Here is a 17,442-nt window from a genome sequence, read left to right on the forward strand (position 1 = left end):
AGGAGGAGCAAAGTCACGTCTTGCATGGCGGCAGGCAAGAGAGCATGTTCAGGGAAATTCCCCATTATAAAACCATCAGATCTCGTGAACTTATTCACTGCCATGAGAACAGCGTGGGAAAGACCGGCCCCCATGATTCAGTTACCTCCCACGACATGTGGGAATTATGGGAGCTACAATTCAAGATATTTGGGTGTGGACACAGAGCCAAACCATATCATTTCATCACTGGCCCCTCCCAAATCTCATCTCCTCAGGTTTCAGAACCAATCATGCCTTCCCAGCAGTTCCCCAAAGTCTTAACTCATTTCAGCATTAACTCAAAAGTCTGCCGTACAAATTCTCATCTGAGACAAGGCAAGTCCCTTCCATCTATGAACCTGTAAAATCAAAAGCAAGTTAGTTACCGTAGATACAATGTGGGTATAGGCATTGGGTAAATATGCCTGCTCCAAATGGGAGAAATTGGCCCAAACGCAGGGGCTACAAGCCCCATGCAAGTCCAAAATCCAGCAGAGCAGTCAAATCTTAAAGTTCCAAAATGATCTCCTTTGACTCCATATCTCACATCCAGGTCATGCAGATGCAAGAGGTGGGTTCCCATGGTCTTGGCCAACTCTGCCTCTGTGGCTTTGCAGCGTACAGCTCCCTCCTGGCTGCTTTCACGGGTTGACATTGAGTGTCTGTGGCTTTTCCAGGCACATGGTGCAGGCTGTTGGTGGACCTGCCATTCAGGGTTCTGGAGGACAGTGGCCCTCTTCTCACAGCTGCACCAGGCAGTGCCCCAGTGGTGACTCTGTGTGGGAGCTTCAACCCCGCATTTCCCTTCTACACTGCCCTAACAGAGGTTCTCCACGAGGACCTGGCCACTGCAGCAAACTTCGGCCTGGACATTCAGGAGTTTCCATACATCTTCTGAAATCTAGGCAGAGGCTCCCAAACCTCAAGTCTTGATTTCTGTGCATCAGCAGGCTCAACACCATGTGTAAGCTGCCAAGACTTGGGGCTTGCACCCTCTGAAACAACAGCCCAAGCTGTACCTTGGCCCCTTTTAGCCACAGCTGGAGTGGCTGGGACACAGGGCAACAAGTCCCTAGGCTGCACACAGCAAGAGGACCCTGGGCCTGGCCCATGAAACCATTTTTTTTCCTCCTAGGCCTCTGGGCCTGTGATGGCAGGGGCTGCTGTGAAGATCTCTGACATGCTCTGGAGACATTTCCCCATTGTCTTGGTGATTAACGTTTGGCTCCTTGTTACTTTTGCAAATTTCTGCATTTGGCTTGAATTTCTCCTCAGAAAACGGGTTTTTCTTTTCTATTGCATAATCAGGCTGCAAATTTTCCAAACTTTTATGCTCTGCTTCCTCTTGAACCCTTTGCTACTTAGAGATTTCTTCCAGAAGATACCCTAAATTATCTCTCTCAAGTTCAAAGTTCCACATATCTCTAGGGAAGGGGCAAAATTCCGCCAGTCTCTTTGCTTAAACATAACAAAGGTCACCTTCGCTCCAGTTCCCAACAAATTTCTCATCTCCATCTGAGACTATCTCAGCCTGAACCATATTGTCCGTATCATTATCAGCACTTTGGTCAAGGTCATTCAACAAGTTTCTAGGAAGTTCCAAACTTTCCCACATCTTCCTGTCCTTCTGAGCCCTCCAAACTATTTCAACCTTTGGCTGTTACCCAGTTCCAAAGTTGCTTCCATATTTTCAGGTATCTTTACAGCAGTGCCCCACTCTACTGACACTAATTTATTGTATTAGTCTGTTCTCACGCTGCTCGTAAAGACATACCTGAGCCTTAATAATTTATAAAGGAAATTTATAAAGGAAAGAGGTTTAATTGACACAGTTCCACATGGTTAGGGAGGGCTCACAATCATGGTGGAAAGCAAAGGAGGAGCAAAGTCATGTCCTGCATGGTGGCAGGCAAGACAGCATGTGCAAGGGCATTCCCCTTTATAAAACCATTAATCTCAAATCTCGTGACACTTATTCACTATCACTAGAAGAGCACGGGAAAGACCTGCCCCCATGATTCAATTACCTCCCACCAGGTCCCTCCCATGACATGTGGGAATTATGGGAGCTACAATTCAAGATGAGATTTGGGTGAGAAACAGCCAAACCATATCATGTGGCAAAATATACTATGATTCCTGGAGATGACAGTGATAAAATATGGGAAAATAACTTAAGTGCCTGGCAAGGGGATTACTGGTGGGATGGGGGAGGACTCAAATGAATACTGGAAATAGTCAACATAAATATTTTCAAATATTTTATGTAATTACTATGGTTGCTATTACAGAAATTACCCAATGAACTAATAAATAATGACTGGATAAGGATAAATTCTAATTAGCACTTGACATGAGCATATGGGTGCATTTTAAGTTTTTGCAAAGTATATGCGCTTATGGATAAACATAACTCCTAAGAAACTCTTTTCCAAATGGTAAGTTGACTTATCCTTTTCTTAGTCATTATGCCTGGTGTATCACAAATTCTAGATCAATAAGATATAAATTGTAGAGGATAAATGGAACCTATGCTACCTAAGTCACAGTTACCAGAATTTTTGCTGCCCTCCACTGTGGTAAAAATAGTTAAATCACAAGAAAATCAGTTTTGGTCAAGGATGTCTTTATTAAAAATTGAATATTTAGAATATAAGGTGGGGTTAGTATACACTTGAATCTCTATACTTGCTGCATTTCCATTCCATGTCCAAGTTAGTAGTATTTTTTCAAAATAATGACTAAAGCTTTTCAGTATCTTCAAGTGGCAATAAAGTATTCTATTACATTCTAAATAATGGACTTCAGAAAATAGGACAGTGGACATTATAGAAAGGTTTTCAACAAGGGGTGGAATTGAAACAGTGGTTCTCTAAATTTGGCAGCCATCAGAATCTCCCAGAGAGCCTGATAAAACACCTATTTCTGGGCGTCACTCACAGAATTTCTGATTCAGTAGATTTGGGGGTGTGGGTCCAAAAAATTATCCTTCCTAATAAGTTCATATGTGATGCTGCTGCTACTGCTGGACTGATCACCACACTTTGAGAACCACCAAATTTATAGACCTTCAGCTTAACTCTGTTTTCTCTCAGATGTCCAGTTAACATGCATCCTCTATTCTCTGACAATTCCAGTTGAGATTTTAGTAAATATGGCTGCATAGTTTAGTTACTGAGGAATTTTTTTTGGCATATACCATTTGTCTTTTTTATATATTTTCACTTACAAGTTTTTTTTTCCTCTTGATAGTATAGCAAAGTGTGAGAAATTTTGCAGTCTCCTTACTGGATATGTATTAGTACTCAGTTCATTCAGGCATTCAACATATATCAATTGAAAACTATCTATTTGTCAGGTGTTGTGCTAGATGCTGAGGATAAAATGGTAAGCTGAATAGACATGCTCCTGACCCAGTGGTGCTTACAATCTATTTGCAAAGACCAGCGTCAATCAAATAATCACACACATAAATGTATAATTGGTCAGAAGAGAAATATCATGGCTGTCTGTGGGTGAATAACAAACCTTAATTAAGCTGGGAAATGAGAAAAACTTCCTTGAGGAATAAAAGCTTGAACTGAGATCTGAAGGATGAATAAACATTTAATGCATAAATTATTTGTGAAGATAAGAATTTTCATGGGACACTTCACAAATTTTGGCCTATATAAATCAGAAAAACAAATAGGAAGTAAGTAAATAGCTTAATAATGACCATTAATAAAGAAGTGTACGTACCAGGCACCATGCTTACAAAGTTAGGAAAATTACTGAGAATGTCTTACATTCCTTTTATAGTTGAGCTCTTCTGACTCACATAATATAAGCAAGATCTTCCAGGGTTTATGTTAGTTGAATGGCTTTAATTCTGGTTTGTCATGGTTGAAAATGAGGAGTTACCACAGTGTACATGTTGTGCCCATTCAATATAGTCAATGCTTAATTCTCCACGTGAAAATCAACTTTTTGTGGCTTATCTGTTTTCGTTTTGTTTGGCTGTCTCTTCTTCTTTTTGGTGAAAGTGTACTCAGGTGAAAGACATGCAATAATATCAATGGTGAATAACCGTAAATTAGGGGAGTAGTTTTCTGAAAAGAAGATCTTAATATTCCACAGGAAGTAAGGTAGACTTTTTGAATAGTCATGATTTTGAGTTTATCCTTTTGCTTCCATTCATCTATGGTGATAATTAATTTGCACAAAGTTAAAAAAAGACATTTTGCTCTTTTGATAAAGTATTTTTGAAGTGGGCAGTAATACATAAACCTGTACTCAAAGAAAATATTGCTAGGATAATTATAATAGTTATATGCTCTTGTACATCACTCTTTAGTTAACTCATATTACCTGGATGAAAATTTACTAGTTGGGCCCTCAATTTATATGTGTCAAAAATAAACTTTCTGAGAAACTGAGTTTATTAATACAATAAAATCTGAATGAAATATTATTGAAGATATTAGTTTTAAAATAGGTTTTCCTTAGTAGCAATCCCATTTGGATGAAATTATCCCACAGGAATGCAATTGACAAATTCCACCTTGGAGTTGTAGCTTGCCAGTATCTTGAAGAAAATAGTTTGGAATTTGAAAATAAAAACAAAACAACAAAAACCAAACCTAGCCTTAATGTTGAAATGTAAACTCTTTTGAGACCCTCCATATTTTGCTTCTTCACCCCTGATTAAACTGTTTCCTTGACCATCCTTTCCTTCCCATTCCAGTCGTCACTTAGGTTTGTTCCTTGCACAAACTTCTTTCTAAAAGCATGTGTTTATTTAGTTTTCCATAAATGGAATGTTCTTCCTTTTAAGCATATACAAACACCACCTATCCTTCAAGACATAGCTCAAACCCCAACTTCCAGTTAAATATCTCTGGTGAAATACCTGGCTTCTCTGCCTCCACAAATCTTTGGTTTTAATCCAACTCTCTCTAATTTCGCTAGCCTTTGGAGTCTTCCATCAGACAATTGAGGCAGTACTTGCAGTGCCTTAATCTCTAAACATTACATATAGATACAAGCCATATGGACTAAAACTCTCCAGATATTTTCAGAAAATTGGACACTAATTTTTTATACTTTGCTGGCTTTCCTGCAGATGGTGATGGAGTTATGTGCAGCAGGTTCGGTCACTGATGTAGTGAGAATGACCAGTAATCAGAGTTTAAAAGAAGATTGGATTGCTTATATCTGCCGAGAAATCCTTCAGGTGAGTCTTCATACAGTCATTCTCTTCTGATCTTTTAAGAACCTGGGAGTAATATATACAATGCACCTTATACCTGCTCACATCAGATAGTTTAGGTATTCCAAACATAACCTGTGCATCAGGATATCTGAAAAGGCCAAAAAGCTTTTGAGAAAGCCAATTTGCAGCTGACGCCTTTAAATAAGCTGGGTAACAAACTCCTTTGAAATCATGGCCTTTAATACCTCTGTCGGATTAAGACTACTGTGTTCAGTGGATCATGGAAATGACCACTTGGATTATTTATTATGTTGTTATTATTTTAGAGTTCTTTAAACAAAAACATAGCACAAGCATCATAGATTAAGATGAAGATGAGTCAGAAGAAGTCAGTATTTTATGGAATGGCCTCAAACCAACTGTAGCCTTTTGGCAGACAAACATTTTCTTTGATTACTGCCCCCTTTTTAAATTTCTTTATTTTCCACACCCAGTTGGATGAGAGCAACAATCTTCTTGATGTACCAAATTCCATCTTTTGTGACTTCAGTTCTTAGGGTCATCCAAGAAGGATATTAACAGAATTGAACAGTACTACTCATACAATGTTAGAATGTCCTTCCTGTCATTTTGGTTGGATTCACTTGTGATAATAGTGTAAATGGTTGAGAGTTCAAACTCTGGGCTGAGTTTACATTTAGTTTACTAAGGATAAGTTTTATTACTTGGAATCTGTTACTTAATATTTCCAAGGCTCACTTTCCTCATCTATATTATAAGGGTGATATTAACACCTTCCTCAAAGGGTTTCTGAGAGGAATTAGTAATTTACTCCATGTAAAGCACTTAGTACAATCCTTGGCAAAGAATAAGGGCTCAATAAATGTTAGCAGTTTTATTGTTACTTTATTATGAATCTCCAGTTAGTGTCTGAGGCAGTCTCACTACAGCTTAACATTGCATACCACATCATGGGTTAGCCAGGTCATGGGTAAATTTTAGTGGTGAATGGGCTAGAGCCAAAGTGTTAAGCCAACACAGATTACAAATGCTGTAAAATGAATTTCCACATTCCCCTAAATTCTCAGCCTACAAAGCTGACTAGAAAATATTTTGGACTAAACAAATGGTTGGGTAAGAAATAGAGCAAAACTATAGCTGAGCTGTGATATTCAAGATGTCCAGATCTTTACTCTTATGGCTAGTTGGAAATACGGAGGCTAAAAAGGAAGGTAAAGTGGCCCAATGTATACAAACATTACTTTTGGTGCTCTTTTTTTTCGTGGGTGTCCTGATTTATTTTCCTTTCCTTATAGCCAAAAGTCATATTTCTGGGAACGGGTTGTAGTGATTCCAGCCTAAAGAAAGAATTGTGTCTGAAACATCAAAATTAAGCTGTTTCTCTTATCAAAAGTTTTTCCAAAAATACTAAGAACTGTACCAGAAAGAAAGAAAGAAAGAAAGAAAGAAAGAAATATATACTGATGTGGCTTTTTAAAAAATATATACAGGGCTTAGCTCACCTTCACGCACACCGAGTAATTCACCGGGACATCAAAGGTCAGAATGTGCTGCTGACTCATAATGCTGAAGTAAAACTGGGTAAGTTTATTCTTATAGTATTTTAAGTCCAAAACATCTTAATGGAGAAAGCTCCTTTAAGATAACTATGCTTTCTATCATGTCCCTGCCAATATCCTCTACTTATTTGAGCTGGGTTTTCCCTGCCTGCAAAACCAGTCAAAATTTGAAAATTTGTTTGGGAGAGGAGGCGGGGCAAAAGAAAGAGGATGCACATACCTGCTTCTTTGAAATCATGTAGATAAAACAACTTTTGAATTATAATGGGGATTTACTTTTTGGCCATCGCTTTACCCTCTATTAGAAATAGCTATTATATTTATTTCAACAATTGAATTGAGTATTTACCATGTGCAAATTTCGATGCCAAGGGAAGGGATTTAAAAAAATAAAAAAATTATTTCACATGACAGAGTCATATTTTCTCAAGAATATCAAATAACTTTTAAATTATGTAAGGATGAATTGCTTCTTTGGATTTTTTCAGATATGTAAAGAAATGATATTGATCAGAATCGATGCTCCAATAATATGCAAGTCAAGTTCAGAATTATAAATCAAAAGACTGGAAGTACCTAGCTTTCTATGCCAGAATTCAGAGTTATATAATTTACTTGAAAATAACCACACATACTTTCTGATTTTCTTGTCCTTAAGCTCATAGGGAACAATATATTGTACCCTTTAATGTGTAAAATAAATATCAATAGTTTTTAGAATAATACCATAAAAATCATGTCAGTACATTGTAGTGGCAGATAATCCCATGGATATAGAGGATAAGTCACTTGCATTATTTTTCAACAGTTTGTAAACATGTGTCTGAACATGACCTTAAGATATTTCCCATTTTCTTGCTAAATAGATAGAACAAGAGTAGAGATTTTGTTCATTCATTAGGAACATTTTTCACTGAACATTTGTGGAAGAAGCATGAGGTAGTAATTGTTTATTCTTGGAATAAGTGAAAGTAGTTTCAAGAGAGTGTATTATTTCTTTTGTGTCTGTCTAAAAGCTATAAAGCTAGAAACACAATTTTAAAATACATAAGGAGAGGCCAGGTGCAGTAGCTCATACTTATAATCCCATCATTTTAGGAGGTCAAGGCATGAGGATCACTTGAGACCAGGAGTTCAAGAGGAGTCTGGGCAACATAGCAAGACCCTATCTCTACAAAAAAAAAATGTTTAATTAGCTGGGCATGGTGGTGCGCACCTGTGGTCCCAGCTACTCGAGAGGCTGAGGCAGGAGGATCACTTGAGCCTAGGATGTTGAGGTTGCAGTAAACTATGATTGTGCCACTGCACTCTAGCCTGGGTGGCAGAGAGATACCTTGTCTCTAAACAATAAATGAATAAACAATGAAAATGTAAAAAATACATGAAGGGCATACATACTTCACATTTAAATACGCAGGATAGATAGTTAATCACAAGGCTAAACACTGTGTTCGCATATAGAGCAACACTGTCATATACTTGTGTCAAGTTGCTGGTCAACGCAAACATTTACAGCACAAAAGAGAAATTGTATGTAAATGAAAAACCACTGAAATATCTGTCACAATGTCCATGCACTAAAGTTCATGTACCTTCCTCTGGAGGAGAGACCTTCTACTGCTGGATTAGAGTTTAATCAGATTTACTTTACATGTAGTCCCTGTACAGTTTGTTCTAGATTTCTCAGATTATCATTATTTTGAAGTAACACATTATAAAATTTAATCACACATATTTTGCACTTAATTCTTTTACAATTTGTTTTAAATTTTTAAGATTATAGTTGTTTTTAAGCAACATAGTATAAGAAGAAAGTTTCAGAAAGCAAACCTAATGACAGCCAAAGGAACTGATAGAAGGGAAAGAGATGGAAAAATGATTATATTGCAGTTGCAATTGCTCGATAATCTTCATATTCCAGCCTGTAAGGTCATGAAAGAAAACTTTAAATTATGCCATTGTTGAGGTTTCATCTCGTCTTGGCTTTCATTTCTCTTTCTCTTGCTCTTTTTTCTTTTCTTCTATTAATCAGTCTTCTAGTCTTTTCTCCTTTCATTTTCTCCTCTGGATATGTGCCATATAGCAACTTATGGCCTTCCTAGGTAATTCTTGGCCCCTAATGCCAGTTCACAGGGATAGTGAGAATGCTGGGCAATTATTTAACCTGTTTCTTTTTAAAAATCTAGATAAAAACATGGCACAACACCCAATGGTGATCTTCACAAATATTGTGGACATTTTTTTGTTGTTGTCGTTCTTGTTAGATCCTCTAAAACTGCCTTAAACTCTTAGGTTTTTCTTTTTCCTTTTTCTTCTCTTCCCCTAAATTCCTGAAGCTTCTTTTTAGTCAGTTTTGTTCGCCATCCTCTGGATTCCTGGAAACCATTCTAAATTAGAAAATCTACTTCATTTTTCATCCCTGTTTTATTTTTTCTGGAATAAATAACCCCAGCCTACTTCAGCCTTTTTTCTGTTTCTGAGGATACCATACCAAATATTTTCTTATAATGTATCCCACAGATGAATAGAAGACTGAACTTTTATAATCTAAGCTAAGATGTAGATACCACAGTAAATACCTGCATCTGATTCAAAAGGTCTATGTAGGAATTTAAACTAAATTCTAGCAGAAAAACTCATTTTTATTTATCAGTGTGATAGAGCCTTCTCATATCATGTGTGAGGCTTCCTGATCAACTGCTAATAAGTTTTAGATTTCTTTGTTCTTGCTTATAGTTCTGGTCTTCCTCCAGCTTGGTTCCCAGGTCCAAACACTACATATGTTATCATTTCGGAGGTTCAGAGTGTCCCGACAGAACATTATTTTTAATATTCATGGTAAACAATCAGCCAAACCTACTGTAGATTTATAATAGCACTGCTGAGTCTCATTCCAAAATAAATAGCAGGAAAAGCTTATTTCCCAGTATTCCTGGAGTAGACTTCATGGTAAAGTTTGCTAGGCTGGAATGAAAATCTGTTATCCATTGTGGCTTTTGTATCAGCTTTCCAAGTTAAAGCAATAACTTATTAAGCTTTTTTCTCCTGATTGATTATTTTGACATATAATGATTTTTGGCAGTTGATTTTGGAGTGAGTGCCCAGGTGAGCAGAACTAATGGAAGAAGGAATAGTTTCATTGGGACACCATACTGGATGGCACCTGAGGTGATTGACTGTGATGAGGACCCAAGACGCTCCTATGATTACAGAGTGAGTGTGAGAATTCAGCCAGTGGAAATTACAATTTGGAAAGGATTTTTGATTAACATTTATTTTTAATGATAAAACAAAAAATAAAAAGCAGGCAGCTCCACATTTTACATTAAATGCTAGTAGGAAATACAAGCCTCTATTTCGGTAAGTGGTTTGATTATATTCATAAAATAATATTTTCTGAGAATGTGGACAAAGTATATACCACTGAGAGTTACCTGCATTTGAGGCAGAATGTGTGGTTTATGTTGCTTGCAACCTATTGGTAAAAATATTATATAATGTGGATTTATATGTATATAAAAATTTAACTTCCAGGAGCAAAGGGCATTGTAAACTTAAAAATGAATAAATGTAAAGCCAATTATTAACCCCCACAGTAACTTAGCTCCAGAAAAGACAAAAAATAATTTGATTACTCAGGGTAATGGAGAAAATCCTTGGCATGTTTCACTTCCAAAACCACAGAAAATCAGTGTAATAGACAAATTAAGTAACAATTCATGCTATTTATTAAAATTTCCACTGAAACTGCAATTTGAACAATATACATATATCCATGTACACATTTCAAAAGGTTGATGTGGAAAGAAAACTCTGCATTTGCTATAGACTGGAAAAACCTCACTCACTCTCCACATAAGTCCAAACAATTAATTGTGGTCTCCCTGAGTGGAACCTAGGACTCAAAACTTGAAGTTGATTAAGATTCATCTCTTTTCCCTTTCCTTAAGTGCCCTTTACATGATCTGCAAAATAATTATTTACTGAGAGTCTATTATGTTCGGTGCTGTTAGGAGCTACGAAGACTATGGAAGCATGTTCTTCAAGTGGCTTTTTATAAATAATGCTTTATAATTGTATACTTTTTGCAGTCTTCCAAGGACTTTCACCTGTATTCGTTATTTATTTTTAGTTTTTAGCACCATGTAACTGAAAGAAGTCTTAAGCATAGACTATCACAACTCAAGCTAAGAAATCTATCAACTAGGGTTCTAAAAATCCAGTTAACCTCCGAGGCCGCAGATCACCTGAGGTCAGGAGTTCGAGACCAACCTGGCCAACATGGCGAAATGCTGTCTCTACTAAAAATACAAAAAATTAGCCAGGCGTGGTGGCAGGCACCTATAATCCTAGCTACTCGGGAGGCTGAGGCAAGAGAATCGCTTGAACCCAGGAGGCAGAGGTTGCAGTGAGCCGAGATTACACCATCGCACTCCAGCCTGGGCGACAGAGTGAGACTCTGTCTCAAGGAAGAAAAAAAAAGAGAATTCAGTAAACCTGTTTAGGAGTCATTTAGCCAGCCGTTGTATCTCTAGCCCTGTGCCCTTTCCACACTCTGAAGAAAAAAAGTACTAAACAGTTGGTAGTGAAGAGAATTTTCTAGAGTCTTTTTCTAGTCTTAGTTTAGTATATTCCAGGAACTGCTGAAGTACACACACACACACACACACACACACACACACACACACACACATATCAGTCCTATGTAAGTGTATGCTATTGTTATCACCATTTTACTTAGAGTGGAATTAAGGCACAGGGAGTTAAAACATTTGCCCAAGATGATACAACTGGTGGGTCTATGTAATAAAATGTCTTTATGGCAAGTTTCTTTTGGTATTTCAGGTAAAACGATAATATCAATGCATCCAAGATGAACTTTCCTTGAGCTTAACTCCATTCCCTATCAACCTGTTGTGTAGTGAGGTACTGGCTGGTCAGTAGCTCAGATTATGTCTTCCTATAATGTCACTCTATAATAAAGCTTCATTATGGGAAACCCATAAAAGAGCTCTGGCATTGACATCCACACCCCCAGCTAAACATTGTTTTGAGATTCTAAATACTACCAATTTCCTATTTTTAAGTGACTTTTTTGTCATCTTTGTCTTTGCAGAGTGATGTGTGGTCTGTGGGAATTACTGCCATTGAAATGGCTGAAGGAGCCCCTCGTGAGTAAAAAATGTTTGATATTTGTTAAAGATTAGGGAAATGTACTGTACAAATCATACAAATCTCTCTCTGTCGAAGAAGATGAGATTGCCACTTGTACCACTCAGCTTTCACTGGCCACACAGGTGTCATACTATGTGCCAAACTACGAATGGTGGCCTTTTCAGTGATTACCAAATGCTTTCTTCAGAATAGCTAGATGTGGGTATATAAATCAGCTTGTACTTTTCTTTCTTATAATATCTTATTTTACATTGACTGAGTGTTGTTTCCATTTAGTCTCAGTAGTATTTGGTCCTGACAGTCCTGAGCAACCAGAATAAGGATTCTGGTTGGCGTTCCAGTCTATATTTCCTGGTGGAATATTTAGATTCCAGAACATTTACAGTCACACAGTGCTACTGCCTCAGGCTGTGATAGTTGAGAAAATTCTCCAGCATTTCATTGAAATTGAGCTAATGTCAAGAAGTAAGCCTGTTTTTTTTTTCCTCTGGAGTCAATTCAACTTACCTTTGTGCCCTCTTTACTCCTTTCAGCTACCTCAGCGCCCATTTCATCTTCTTTTCTCTACCTCCCCATCATTTAAATGACCTGTTAGCATCCTGTTCTCTCAAGGCACTGCTTTCTGATAGGAAAGTAAAAATGGAATGTAAACTGGGTATAAGTGATTGATAACCATCTAATGTGTGACTCCAGAGCATGGCATATTTGCTGTCCTTAGTACCTAAAATCCAAAAGTATAAATGACAATGCATCTTTGGTATTGTTGGATGAGAAGTGTAAAGTAATGCCTTCTGGGGTATGGGGAGGGTTGCTTTGCTTTCCCCTCTCCAAAGCAGATCCTATAGGTTCCCATGTTCTTGTATGCTCTATCTGCAAAATGTCCACCCATCAAGTTTTATGAGCTTGAACTATCTTAGCATTTTGTTTCAAGGCCAATGAGAGGAATTTCAAGAAATAGAAATAATGGTAACATAATTGTTGAAAATTCCTGGTATCCCTTGGAATATTAAAGAGGGGCTGGGATAAAGCTAGGACACCTGTGGAGATCATGTTGCTTCTTGCCTGTATTATAATGCCCCCAAATCAGCAAAGTACCTAAGTTGGGTGAATAAAAAATTAATAATGGAAAATGTTAAACAATAAGAAGATTACATACGACACATATATAAAATTGAAATTATACTGAGGGGATGTGGACTATTCCTCATCATCTCCTGATTATTTCTGTTTTGGAAACATACTTAGATTATGTTAAATTGAGCAGCAGCAACTAATATTTCATATTAGTATTGATGCATGGATTTGGTTAGGATACATGCCTGCATTGAGTAGTATCTTTTTTCCATTGTTTCTGAATGCTCCTCACCATGCCTTTCCGGGAAACCAACTTTCTATGTTTTCCAGTTTGTACTTCCTGGGTCACCTTCGTTTGTTTCACTTTTTTTTTTTATTCCAAAATATTAAGTTACGGGAAAAAGTATTGCTGAGCAAACTCACAGGAGTGCAGAGAAGGAGTTTTGCACAGATTACACAAATGGCAAGCTTCTTACAAAAGATAAGTGAAGGCCAGGAGATTTGGAACTCACAAAGGGAGAAAATAGGGCTGGCCTGCCTGGGTCAGTAATTGGAGTAATACAACTTTGGTCAAGAGCAGCCCTAAATAGCCTCCCTACTAAAACATTTCTCTTTTACCGGTGTCCTTTGTTGCCTGGAATATTAATTTTGTATGGAAATAATTGTCATCAGTTTAACTGCAGAAATCCTCCAGGTTATGATAATTATTATCTCATAAGGGATGGCCTTCCAAAGTGACAATTATCTGATAATATCCTCTGAGTTCCAGATAACAAAATTCTCTTCCTTTGGTCTTCCTTTGGTGAGTCTTTTCCAGAGAAGTAAAGAGAGAGAAAGAATAACTTCTCCTTGATAGGATGCCATGGGGCATAGGTTCCCAAACCCTGGGCCACACAGCAGGAGGTGAGCGGCGAGCAAGTGAGCAAGCATTACCACCTGAGCTCTGACTCCTGTCAGATCAGCAACGGCATTAGATTCTTCTAGGAGTGGGAACCCTATTGTGAACTAAGCATGCAAGGGATCTAGGTGGTATATTTCTTATGAGAATCCAACTCATGCCTGCTGTTCTGAGATGGAACAGTTTCATCCCCAAACCAACCCCCTACCCCTAGGTCCATGGAAAAATTGTCTTCCACGAAACTAGTCCCTGGTGCCAAAAAGTTTGGGGACCACTGTTGTAGTGGCTCTAGAAAGAGAGAACTGGACACTTGTAAACCAGGAACCCCTTCAGTCCCTAGTTTCTGGGTAGGAATTCAAACAATACGGGGACCTTTATACCAAGGCCAGAACATTTATAATAATCATCCAAACATCAGAGTATCATAGGTTAATTTTGAATAGATGTGGTTTTTAGTCTCTATCTTTTATAGAAAAGATAATCTGTGCCTGGAGGAGAAGCGGGATAGGATCAATAGTTAAGCCTGACACCCCTTTCTTGGCAAAGCTGTACACTAGTCAACTTGCCTTAACCTGGACCATATTTTCCCCTATTTTTGCATTCTCCTTGATATTGTAGATCATTTTAAATATTCTCAATGATGCTTCTTTATAGTCCTACTTCTATCCCTTGTAGTGTCACTCTCTCATACCCCATGTCTGTCTTTACCTGAGTGCATTGTGGCTCAAATCTACCCCATCCCATCAAGAGGCTTATTCCTTCAATATTCAGAAGATTCCCTCAGATCTCAACATGTGTTAAGAATAAATCACATTATTTAACCTAATTCAGACTAAGCCCAATTTAATATGTGTCCAACCCTTCAAGAGATAATGTGATTTTTAAGGGAGGCTTGCTGTTTCAAAGGAATGAGCCTCTAATGATGAACATTTAGGTAGTGTTATGAGATATAGGTTGGAGGGGGCAGTTACTGACATTCCTGAAATTAGACTATATAGGAAACCATAAACAGCTACTGTTGACATAGCTCTTGTACCCACCCTATGCTCCATTCCTTTGTGAACTTTTCCTTTCCGTTAAAGAAAACTTACCTAGTCTGTGTCCTAGCTCTTGACCCCTGAAGATGTTGTCAGTGGACTAACTGTTGCCCAGATGTTAATAAATGACAACTGCTTAATATTGTACCAACTCCCTTACAATAAGTTTAAAGGACAGAAACTGGAGACTGATTGGACATAGTAAAAGAATAAAAAGGGTTAAATATGATCCTGATACTTTGTACTTGGAGCTAATTCTGCCTTCAGTTATAAAAATGCATCTTCTATTAATTTATACCCATGTAATTGAAAACAAAGCTTGGCCTTTAAACAATTGCCTTTGTATAGCCCTAATAAAATCACTCTGTGGAGTTTTTGTCTACTACTATGAAAGGCCAGTTTGTCACTTTAGGTATTTCTGAGGATGCATTTTGGGAGAGAAAGGATGGCTCTATCAAGAGTCATTAATATCAAATTATCCTTACAAGAATGACACACTTGTAATGTTAGATGAAATTGACACTGTGGTTCTCCATTGGGGATTTTTTGCACTGCCAACTTTCTTTAATCAAAACACAAGAGGAAATAAGTGAGACATATTTAAACACTTATAGAAAAAACCAAATTTCCCAAACCAATGAGGTAATTAATTTATATAGCACATATTGGAATAGGTTTTTATTTTTATGCCTGTGTGTATGAAAGAGAGAATGAATGTCCAGTAATTTGGCACAGTCTCAAAGTGCCATAGAGTTAACATCTTTGTTATAATATCAATAGCTGATATTTATTTAGCATCTACTACATGTCAGATACTTTTGAGGGGATTTTAAAAATTATTTAAAAAATTTTTGTGCATACATAATAGATGTATATATTTATGAGGTAAATACACTTTTACTTGTAAGTTTCTAATTAATCCTCACAACAATTCTTTGAAGGGATTCCTCCTGCTACATTTCCTGTTTTTCAGGTGAAGAAACCAAGATACAGATAGGCTAGGTAATTTGCCCAGTCACAAAGGTAGAGCTAGGTTTGAACGCAGATGATCTTACTCTAGGGGGTGTATTCTTAACAGTTGCACTATACCTATTTTTTTTTTCTAGAACTCTCAGCTTCCAAAACAGATGCTTCTAAGCTTTCTAGACTACTAAATCATTGTTCTTTAAATATTATTGTACTAAGCTAGTAGTCTGGTTGAATTTTTCAGTCTGTAATTACATATTCCAATTTTATAACTAAATACCTGCAATACAAAAACATAGAAGTGTGCTTGTTTCACTTTCAGTTAACTTTTCTAGATATAAATTATCAACTATACATTTCAAATATTTTGTCTAGTTTATTATTAATTTATCCTACTTGGTGATAGTGAAACTTGAGAATCTTATATATTGCAACATTGCATTAAAACGAGCTTTTCTTTTTCTTTTGAAATACATTCTTTTGTATCTATTTGTCCCTTAGTGTCTACTCAACATAATATGTGAAAGATCACTGAGAATCCCCTCTGGAATAAGGAGTGTGTTCTTTAGTTACCCTTCTCATTCTTTCTAAATTTATCTATTTCCCTTTGCAGCTCTGTGTAACCTTCAACCCTTGGAAGCTCTCTTCGTTATTTTGCGGGAATCTGCTCCCACAGTCAAATCCAGCGGATGGTAAAGATGAATGTCTTAATCTCCTAATTACATTGACTTGACATTTTTATGTTAGCAAAGAAGTTTTAATTCATTTGGTCAGTCCTGCTGCACCATCCTGGTTGGACAATATTTCCTAAAGTCTAATATCTTAACTGGGAGGTCTAAATGACCAGTTTTCATTAAGAGGTAGCTAGCCAACTATAAATAAGTAATATCCTCTATAGTATTTTCTGATGATATTACTGTACTGCCATTAATGGGCATGTTCAGTTGTTTCCCCAGTAATGGGATGAACTGATGGCAACTATTTGTGAAGTTTCTTGTGTTGCTTATATAGGCAGTCAGTTATATGCAGCCCTGTTGATTAGTACATTAAACCAAACACACACAGACCTAGAGCAGAAGACTTGTTTTCCCAGGGCACTTACATGCCAGCTAAACTTGGGAATCCTTCTCTCTGAAGCTTGTTGATCTTGTACCTGAAACTCTTGCTTATTATTAGTTTTTATTGCTTTCCCTGGTAGAAGTGGTGACTGTGATTTGATTGTTAACATTCTGCATTGGAATTCAATTTAACCCTTTCCATGGATTCAGTTTTTATGGCCACATCTGTTTTCATGGGTCATTTTACAAGATTAGTTAGTCCTGGTGCTTTTAACATCCTATTTTTGGATCATTATATTCATTCCTCTGTAGTTAAAACTGCATATAGTCAAATGAAAAATACAGAGTATGACTGCTGTGGGCCGATCAATCTAGTCTTGCAGACTACATATATCACATTAACCATTTAATCATCATATCTGCACTTGAGTTTTTACCA

At 37.2% G+C, this 17,442-nt stretch overlaps 1 protein-coding gene across 5 annotated transcripts in view; it reads left to right on the top strand.

Moving 5' to 3' along the window:
- NRK (Nik related kinase) overlaps positions 1–17,442 on the top strand; it is a 136,825-nt gene that overhangs the window by 66,921 nt on the left and 52,462 nt on the right. For all 5 annotated transcript variants that reach the window (XM_011530887.4, NM_198465.4, XM_006724632.4 and 2 more), the window contains exons 6-10: positions 5,126–5,236; positions 6,727–6,817; positions 9,878–10,008; positions 11,912–11,966; positions 16,559–16,637. In XM_011530887.4, the coding sequence (XP_011529189.1) occupies positions 5,126–5,236; positions 6,727–6,817; positions 9,878–10,008; positions 11,912–11,966; positions 16,559–16,637 (467 nt within the window). The remainder of the gene's footprint in view (positions 1–5,125; positions 5,237–6,726; positions 6,818–9,877; positions 10,009–11,911; positions 11,967–16,558; positions 16,638–17,442) is intronic.

The sequence above is a fragment of the Homo sapiens genome, chromosome X, assembly GCF_000001405.40.
Source record: "Homo sapiens chromosome X, GRCh38.p14 Primary Assembly".
In the NCBI taxonomy this organism is placed as follows: domain Eukaryota; kingdom Metazoa; phylum Chordata; class Mammalia; order Primates; family Hominidae; genus Homo; species Homo sapiens.